Source organism: Homo sapiens, chromosome 12, assembly GCF_000001405.40.
Source record: "Homo sapiens chromosome 12, GRCh38.p14 Primary Assembly".
NCBI classification, from domain to species: domain Eukaryota; kingdom Metazoa; phylum Chordata; class Mammalia; order Primates; family Hominidae; genus Homo; species Homo sapiens.
In genome coordinates this window covers 108972795-108983282 of record NC_000012.12, presented here as the reverse complement: position 1 = coordinate 108983282, position 10488 = coordinate 108972795, and the positions used below count along the sequence as shown (strand labels likewise).

General features: G+C 43.2%; 1 protein-coding gene across 1 annotated transcript in view; it reads left to right on the top strand.

Moving 5' to 3' along the window:
- Nucleotides 1–10488, top strand: part of SVOP (SV2 related protein) — a 113328-nt gene that overhangs the window by 37786 nt on the left and 65054 nt on the right. Inside the window, exons 3-4 of the mRNA NM_018711.5 lie at nt 4620–4705; nt 5787–5885. Of these exons, the coding sequence (NP_061181.1) occupies nt 4620–4705; nt 5787–5885 (185 nt within the window). The remainder of the gene's footprint in view (nt 1–4619; nt 4706–5786; nt 5886–10488) is intronic.

The following is a 10488-nucleotide window of genomic DNA, read 5'->3' as shown; positions in this document are numbered from 1 at the left end:
TGATCATGATAGTAATGATGATGATGGTGAGGATGATGGTGATAATGGTGATGATTATGGTGATGGTGATGATCATAGTGATGAAGACTGTGATGATAAAGATGGCAATGGTGATGATGGTGATGACAATGGTGATGATGATGGTGGTGATAGTGATGATTATGGTGATTATGATGATGGTGATCATGATGATGGTGATCATGATGATGGTGATGATGGTGATGGTGATGATGGTGGTGATGATGATGATATGATGATGGTGGTGATAATGATGATGGTGACAATGATAATGATGGTGATAGTGATGATTATGATGATGATGATGGTGATCATGATGGTGATGGTGATGATGATGCTAGTGATGAAAGATGATAAGGATGGCAATGATGATGATGATGATGATAGTGATGATGATGATGGTGGTGATGATAGTGATGATGATGATGGTGACAGTGATGATGATGGTGATGATGATGATGGTGATGATGATGATAGTGATGATGATGGTGGTGATGTTGATGATAGTGATGATGATGATGGTGATGATGATAGTGATGATGATGATGATGGTGACAGTGATGATGATGGTGATGATGATGATGGTGATGATAATGATGGTGATCATGATGATGGTGATGGTGATGATGATGATAGTGATGAAGATGGTGATAAGGATGGCAGTGGTGATGATAGTGATGATGATAATGGTGAAGATGATGGTGACGATGATGACGGTGATGATGAAAATGATGGTGGTGGTGGTGATGATGGTGATGATAGTGGTGGTGATGATGATGATTGTGGTGATAATGATGTTGATAGTGATGATTATGGTGATGATGATGATGGTGATCATGATGATGGTGATGGTGATGATGATGATAGTGATGAAGATGGTGATAAGGATGGCAGTGGTGATGATAGTGATGATGATGATGGTGAAGATGATGATGATGGTGATGATGATGAAAATGATGGTGGTGGTGGTGATGATGGTGATGATAGTGTGGTGATGATGATGATTGTGGTGATAATGATGGTGATAGTGATGATTATGGTGATGAAGATGATGATGGAGATCATGATGATGGTGATGATAATGATAGGATGAAGATGGTGATGATAAGGTTGGCAATGATGATGATAGTGATGATGATGATGAAGATGGTGGTTACGATGGTGATGATGATGATAGTGATGATGATGAAGATGGTGGTTATGATGGTGACGATGATGATGATAGTGATGATGATGGTGGTGATGATGATGATGGTAGTGATGATGGTGGTGATGATGAAGATGATGGTGGTGATGATGATGAAGATGATGGCGGTGGTGGTGATGATGGTGATGATAGTGGTGGTGATGCTGATAGTGAAGACGATGGTGATAGTGCTGATGGTGGGGATGACAGTATAATGACAATGGTGGTGATGATGTTGGTTATGATGATAGTGTGATAGTAATGGTGACACTGATGATGGTATGGGAGTAGCTAACATTGACTGAGGATTTATTATGTGCCAGGCACTGCTCTAACCAGTTTACATGTTTTATCCATCTAATCCTCACAACAGTTCCAATTGGATCTATTACCAACATCTTCCCCATTTTGCAGGTGAGGAAACTGAAGCACAGAAGGGTTAAGTATCTTGCTGAGGGTTATACAGCTAGGAATTAGCCAATTTGGATTTACGCCCAGGCAATCTGGCCTCAGAGCCCACATTCTTACCCACGACCTTGTTCTGACTCTGAGGCGGTGCTGTGGGACCTGGTCTCCAGCTTTCCTCACTTCTTGTTGCTGATGGATGAAAACATTCTATGCATTCCTGAAAAGCCTCAGATTCCAAATCTAAGAGAGGACTAATGACTTGAATGCAAGGCCTATTGTTGGCAGAGATAAGGTGGCAATGACAGGGGATGGAGGGAAGCTGAGGCTTTATTCTCAGGCTGATCTGGGCTCTACTCCCAACTCTGTGAAACACAGGGCAAGTCCATATCCTCCTCTGTAAAATGGGGCTACTACTAGGCCTTAACTCATAGGATTGTGATGGGGATTAAATGAAATAATGCACATCTAGCTTTCGGCACAGTGCCTTGCAGGTAGTGAGCACCCAGTAAATGCCCCACAATAGTCTCACTACTGTTCTTCTTGTGGATGATATTTTTTGCTGGAGGAAACCACAACCTGCTAATGTGATCAACGCCAGCTCACACTTCTGGAGAAAATTATGATTGACATACAAAGCCCATGGTTGAAATTCCAAAAAGATGACACCTCCCAGCAGGGGCTGATGAGATCCTCGGAGGTCACCCACGGGGCCACCCAGCATCCTCCTTTAGTATTTTTATTTTTTTCAGATGGAAACTCACTCTGTCACCCAGGCTGGAGTGCAGTGGTACGGTCTCAGCTCACTGCAACCTCCACCTCCTGGGTTCAAGCGATTCTCCTGCCTCAGCCTCCTGAGTAGCTGGGACTACAGGCATGCGCCACCACACCTGGCTAATTTTTTTTTTTTTTTTTTTGAGACGGAGTCTCGCTCTGTTGCCCAGGCCAGACTGCGGACTGCAGTGGCGCAATCTCGGCTCACTGCAAGCTCCGCTTCCCGGGTTCACGCCATTCTCCTGCCTCAGCCTCCTGAGTAGCTGGGACTACAGGCGCCCGCCACCGCGCCCAGCTAATTTTTTGTATTTTCAGTAGAGACGGGGTTTCACCATGTTGGCCAGGATGGTGTCAAACTCCTGGCCTCAGGTGATCTGCTCGCCTTGGCCTCCCAAAGTGTTGAGATTTCAGGCGTGAGCCACCACACCTGGCTGTATTTTTATTTTTTAATTAACTATTCATTTTGGAATTATTTTAGCTTTACAAAAAAATTGCAGATATAGTATAGACATTTCTCACATACCCTTTACCCAGCCTCCCCTAATGTTAACAACTAAACTAAAAAAATTAACCTTGGTGTGCTACTATTAGCTCAACTACAGACTTTATTCGGATTTCACCAGTCATTGCAATTGTGCTATTCCCAGATACAATCCAGCATAACATATTGGGTTTAGTGTTTTAATTTAGTTTAGTTTTGTTTTTTGGATTTTTTTTATTTTGAGACAGAATCTTACTCTGTCACCCAGGCTGGAGTGCAGTGGCATGATCACAGCTCACTGCAACCTTGAAACCTTCCTGGCTCAAGTCATCCTCCTCCCTGAGCCTCCCAGGTAGCTAGGACCATAGGCGTGAGCCACAACTCACAGCTACTTTTTAAAAATATTTTTAGTAGAGATGGGGACTCACTATGCTGCCCAGGCTGCTCTCAAACTCCAGGTCTCAAGTGATCCTCCTGCCTCAGCCTCCCAAAGTGCTGGGATTACAGGCATAAGCCACAGCATCCGGCCGTCTTTTAGTATGTTTCAAAAACACTTATTAGCTTATAAATTATATCTGTGTTTTTTTCTGAGCATAAAAATAACACTTGTTTATTTGGAAAGCATTCAGACATTAAAGAAATTCTCAAAGTAGGAAAGTGAGTGTTGTTTTCAAAGATGAGCCTGGTAAGCAGTTTGTAAGATGTCCACTCAGTCTTACTTCCCCTGCTTGGCACACACACACGTATATACATTTTATCACAAAGACAGCTCCTCTGGTACATACCTTTCCACAACTTTTGCTTTTCACTTAACAATATAGTGTGCACATCTTTCCATCGGAGTGCAGATGGAATTGTACCTTTCAAAAGTATTTCAGGCCGGGCATGGTGGCTCACATCGGTAATCCTAACACTTTGAGGGGCTGAGGTGGGAAGACAGCTTGAGCTCAGGAGTTCAAGACCAGCCTGGGTAACATAGTGAGACCTCATCTCTACAAAAAATAGAAAAAAAATAGCTGGGCATGGTGACATGTGCCTGTAGTCCCAGCTACTTGGGAGGCTGAGGCAGGAGGATGGCTTGAGCCCAGGAGATAGAGGCTGCATTGAGCTATGATTGTACCACCGAGTTCCAGCCTGGGCAACAGAGCGAGACACTGTCTCAAAACAAAAACAAAACAAAGAAGTATTTCTTTTTTTTCTGGCCATGGAAGTAATACATTGTAAAAGGAAGAAAGTTAATTCTCATATAATTTTTTCCTTCCTCCCTCTGACAAACAAATTAAACCATAATTCAAAGCCTTGTATATATTCTACGGATAGATACATGTACACCCACATGCGTACATTTCCAAGAATAGAACCATGCTAAATACCTTGTTGTCGATCTTGTTTTATTTTTAAACATTAATTAACAATATACTTTGTGTATCTTTCTATATCTGCACATTCTTGTTAACTGTTGGGTCATATTTCATAATGTGGATATTTAATAATTTATATATGTATAATATCTACTTAATTTATTTAGCCAACTCCTGTTGATGGACATTCTGGGTTTTTCCGTTTCTCCCGTTGTAAGTAATGCTGCAGTTGTAGGATATCACTTCACACTGGAATATTTTTCTAGGATAAGTTCTAAAAGCAGCATGTGCTGTGTTTAATTAGCTTGGCTGGGGACCACCCCAGAAAACCCCACACTAGGACAACTGCAAGGTGCACTGATTCCTTCCTTCCCTCTCCCTTTCTCCTTCCCAGATACTTTCATGGTGGAAGATGCAGTGGAAGCCATTGGCTTTGGAAAATTTCAGTGGAAGCTGTCTGTTCTCACTGGCTTGGCTTGGGCAAGTATTTCTGGGGGGCAGTGGCTCAGCCTCCAAGAAACCCCCATGCTGCTCAACTGGGTTTCCATGGCCTACAAGGAAGGACACAGTTCTTTGCACATGGAGCCTTTGCTTGAATTTCAATCAACAAAATTTATGTGGCGTAATAAGTGGTGATAACGAGATCTGTGCTTGAGGAGAGCTGGGTGTGTTTGGCAGTTGCCCCCAAGAAGGAGTTGAACTTTCTAGCTAATTAGGTGGCTTTCAACTCTTTGGGCTCAGGGCTACTATGAGATTATGATGTCAGCTGTAGAGCTCTCCCTAGAAAAGCATGCACAGATTAGAAATGTGCCTTCTGCTTCAAGACTCTCATGATCCCTCATTCAAATCCCCTGGCTATGGCAAAGAGTACAGCCAAACCTTTAATATACTTGAAATTAATTTTTGTGAATGGCAGGAGATGGTGATCTAACTACATATTTTCCCAAATGGATCGTCAATTTCCCCACAACATTTCCCCCCCTAATTGGAAAAGCTGCCTTTATCGTATACCAAATTCCCAAGACATGGGCATGCTTCTAGATTCCATGTCTGTCCTAGTCTGTCTAGTCTCGTAAAGGTACACGATGTTTAATTGCTAGGGATTCTGAGTCTGTTTTAATGTATTAAAAGGTCACACTTGTTAACTATACTGACAATTATATTCTATTCTACATGAACAAATGACCTATAAGCCAAAGACAAGCTAGTCTTTAACTGCACCAAAAAGATAATTGTCTCTCTGCATCTATAAAAATGTTTTTTTCTCAGATTTTAGAAATATGTTTTCCCACTTTGTTTGTGATATGCCCATATTTTTTAAAACACACACAAAAAAACCACACACGAAAATAATATAAAATGTCTATTTGTCTATTCCTGCAATGGTAATGCATGGTTTTAACTGCTGGAGCTTTGAGTGTGGTTTGATGTGCAGCAGGGCACTTGGCAATGGGTAGAGAGGGGTGTGCTACAGTCTCTGTCTCTGGGGTTATGGACTTGGCCAGCCTTCCCCAGCACCAAGCAGCATCCTGGCCTCATGATGTCTCCGTCCTCTCTGCAGATGGCTGATGCCATGGAGATGATGATCCTCAGCATCCTGGCACCACAGCTGCATTGCGAGTGGAGGCTCCCAAGCTGGCAGGTGGCATTGCTGACCTCGGTAGGCAGCCCAGCAGCTCCCTTCTGTTGCATACAGTTCTGCTCCCCTGGGGTGTCCTGTGGGATATCTCCCTTCTCCTGCTGCCGAAGGCTCAGCAGAAAAGAATTAAGCCCTGATGGAAACACTGTCCCATCCCCACCTCACATATCCTAGCAGGTTTACAGCCAACTCTACTTCACCCGGAGGTCCAGCTACTTGGGAGGGTGTCCCAGGCATCCTATTCTGTTGCTGGGAGCTTGAAACCCACCTGTGCATATCACTTAAACTCTGTATGCCTGTTTTCTTGGCTGCAAACAGGAGGTGCCAATCCCCACATCCCTAGGATTATTTGAGGACTGGAAACAACACAGTGCCTGGCATAGAGTAGGTGTTCAATAAATTGGAGCTATTGCTCCCTGGAATTAAGGCTTGAAGGAGGAGGCTGCAGAACCCTCACTTTTTGTCAGGGAGATATCAGCAGCAACCTCTTAAAAGAGAGGAATGGGCTGGGCGTAGTGGCTCACGCCTGTAATCCCAGCACTTTGGGAGGCTGAGGTGGGTGGACCACCTGAGGTCAGGAGTTCGAGACCAGTCTGACCAATATGGTGAAACCCCATCTCTACTAAAAATACAAAAATTAGCTGGGCGTGGTGGGGGCGCCTGTAATCCCAGCTACTCGGGAGGCTGAGGCAGGAGAATTGCTTGAATCCGGGAGGCAGAGGTTGCAGTGAGCTGAGATTGTGCCATTGCACTCCGGCCTGGGTGACAGAGGAGGACTCCACCTCAAATTAAAAAAAAAAAAAAGAGAGAGAGAGAGAGAGGAATGGCCAGGCTGGATAAGAGGATAATAATGATAATCACAAAAGCTAATACTTACAGAGCATTTACTGTGCAAAGGCCTTTACCTACATTGCATACAATATATGCACAATGTACATGTGCTCTTTAATCCTCACAGACCTATGAGCTAGGCGCTATGATTAGTTGAGCAAGATGAGGCACAGAGAGGTTAATCCCTTGCCCAAGGTCTGTGATCTGCATCAGTGATGGAGTCACTGCCAATTCAGGATGCCTCCCAGAATGTTGTTTTTTGTAGATAACTGTTCTGGAATGGCCTGAGTGCCTTCCACACAGCATGGCCCAGTCTGATATTAGCAATAAGGTTGTGTAGCTCAGTGGGAAGAGTTTCATGGCACATACACCTGTGTTTTTGTGGTTTAGTCACCTCCAGAAGTGTGACCTTGAGTGAGGCACTTGATGGCTGTATTTTGTGGCCTGCGAAATGGGAGTGATAATGCCTGTTTTTCTGTGTATTTTGTTAAATACACACAGCCCCTAGTACACACCAGGGGCTGAGTCCATGATACTTGCTTTTTATATTCCTCCTTCTTACCAATGTCTCCTAAAGAGTAACTGCAGGCTGGTCACGGTAGCTGACACCTGTAATCCCAGCACTTTGGGAGGCTGAGGCGGGCAGATCACTTGAGGCCAGGAGTTCAAGACCAGGCTGGCCAACTTGGTGAAACCCCGTCTCTACCAAAAATACAAAAATTGACTGGGCATGGTGGCGCGTCCTGTAATCCTAGCTACTCAGAAGGCTGAGGCAGGAGAATCACTTGAACCCGGGAGGCTGAGTTTGCAGAGAGCCGAGATTTCACCACTCCATTCCAGCCTGGGTGACAGAGTGACACTCCATCTCAAATAACAACAATAATAATAATAACTGCAGGTCTGTGTTTTTGCAATGTAGGGCCTTTCTGGTCTCTTGCCATTGGATGATAACAACCATAATTTACTGAGCACTTATTTTGGGCCAGGCTAATGGTTTTGCATACATTACCTCTTTAACCTTCTCAAACCTATGAAAGAGGTGCTTTTATTACTGTCACTTCTACAGATAAGGAAACTGAGGCTTAGAGAGGGGCATTGACTTGCACAAGCCCAGACAGCCTGTAAGAGGCAGAATTGAAAGCCAGGCCTGGCAGGCTCAGAGCCCCTGCCTCGGGCTACTTTCTTGTGGTATGAGGTTTAGACTTGTGGGCTAGGTAGAGCCATTAAGTCTCATGGGTAAATTTTCTAAGGAAAAGTCAGAGTCCTGCAGGAGTTGGAGACATAAAGTACCCAAGGAGGATATTACAGATGCACATTTTTGCTGCAGGAAATACTGTGCAAGATTACCGTAATTATTATGATATAGAAGCAGTGCTTTGCTGTGCCAGAATCTCTCCTTTTGGGGAAAATGGGTGTTTTGAGGGATATTTAACTCTTTGAGGATGTAAGAATATCACTTAGCACATAACAAAGGCAACACTTTATCCCAAGACAGTAATCTTCAAACATCTTTTTTCAAGGTTAATCTAGAAAAGAATTAAATAAAAACCATGTAGAATCCAGGACTGTCACATGTTTTTACATTGACATGAAAGTTTTAAAATTGTAGGTTGCAGATGATGCCATTGCCAGTGTAGTGAAATATAAAAATCAAAATAAAATTATCATATCACTTTTTAAAATGTGTCTAGTAAAATGGAAAAATGGAAATACTTACCTGATATCTGCCATCATTTGTTTTAAAGTTACATGAACAAGCTCTTTAGAGGAATTTGGAAATTTTGCATTGCTTTTTTCTTGGAACTGGTATTTCCATTCATTTCTCCATATAATTTTACCTTAATGTATTTTTTTTTTGAAATAGGGTCTCTCTGTGTTGCCCAGGCTGGAGTATAGTGGCGTGATTTTGTCTCACTGCAACCTTCGCCTTCTAAGTTCAAGCCATCCTCCCACCCCAGCCTCCTGAGCAGCTGGGACCAAAGACACACGCCACCATGCCCAGCTAATTTTTTTACTTTTAGTAGAGACAGAGTTTCACCACGTTGCCCAGGCTGGCCTAATGTAATATTATTTTGCTTAAAAGGATCACATTCATTACCCTATTATAATTCTCTGTGACAGAATACATACATTCTAAATTATTAGTTTTAATTCTCTGAGATGAGAAGGCTCTAAGCACTAAAATTTTTCTCCTGCACTGACTTATCATTATAATTTTTAGTAGTACACAATAGACCACAACAACAACATATAATTTTGATAAATAATTGTTAATCATAAGCAAGGTTTTATTGGAAATGTATCCCTTAATGAGTGGTGTGGAATGTTTCCCAAATATTTTATGTATTCCTGAATGATTATTGCTAAAGTGAGACAGGGTTCAGCACCAGGTCTGTTCCTATTTGTCACTTTTCCTGAATGACTATATATATGAAAAGCTTTGTTCACATAAAAAAAAGTTTTGAGGAACTGAAGGAGTTTTGTTAGAACTCAATAAACTAATGCCACTTGATTTTTAAAAACGCTCTCCAAATTGCGTGTGCCAAAGAGCACACAGCTTTCATTTCTGAAAAATTATGTTCCATGACCTAACTTGCTGACAGCTTGATTAGACTGTTTTTCAATTCTGTTGAAAGTAATAATAAAGGTATTGGAAACCAGATGACTTGCAAAAGTCATCTGTAAGTGCATCATCAGTGCCCCTTCTGAGGCACCCTGAAGGGTTTACATTGAAAAGCAATGCCTTGGTCAGACTGGCCTAGAGAGGTGTGGCTGAGAAAGAGGGAGTCAGGCAGGAAATGGAGAAGAAGACTCCTAACTCGTTCTTGAGAAAGAATCTGTAGGGAAGTTGAAAACTTGGAAATGAATTCCCTTAAAATGATCCATTCGGGCCAGGTGTAGTGGCTCATGCCTGTAATCCCAGCACTGTGGGAGGCTGATGTGGAAGGATCCCTTGAAGCAAGGAGTTAGAGACCAACCTGGACAACGAAGTGAGATCCTGTCTCTACTAAATAAATAAATAAATAAAATTAGCTAGGCATGGTGGTGCACACCTGTAGTCTCCCCTACTCAGGAGGCTGAGGTGAGAGGATCACTTGAGCCCAGGAGGCTGAGGCTGCAGTGAACCATGACCATACCACTGCACTCCAGCCTGGGTGACAGAGCAAGATCCTGTCTAAACAAACAAACAAACAAATAAATAAATTATACATACATAAACTGTCTGCTTCTCCCTTGGAACGCTTCTGTGTACCATCCCCACTCCCTGCCCTCGGACATGCCACAAGAAATGCTTTTTGGGTCAGACCAAACTGAATCTGTGCCCTCCCCTCTCTGGCCCTCAGTTGCCTTATCTGTGAAATGGGGAGAATATAAGCACCCACCAAGTAGGGCTACTGTGAGGATGCAGTAAGATGTGTGCATAAAGGCTTCAGCATGGTGTCTGGCACTTGGAGAGGGAAGAGCATGGTGATGAGGTGCCAGTCAGCCTGCTTGGGCTTAAGACTTGCCTCTACTCTCTCCTTTCAGGGAGGCGGAGCAGGTTTCTAATCTATCTGAGCCTCAGCTCCCCATTCTGTCATATGAGTAGGATCATTCAAATCTCACCAGCTGTTACTCCAAGGATTAACAATGTAACAATGACTTGGCCTCCCACACAATGAGTGGTTTCTCTTACTAGTAGTTTACAGCTCCCATGCCAGCCTCCTGTATGCCAACCTCTACCTTGCAGCCCTTGGTATTTTCTCAGCAGCAGGGCAAGTGTTTCTTTGGGATGGTGTGAAACTTGTCAAAA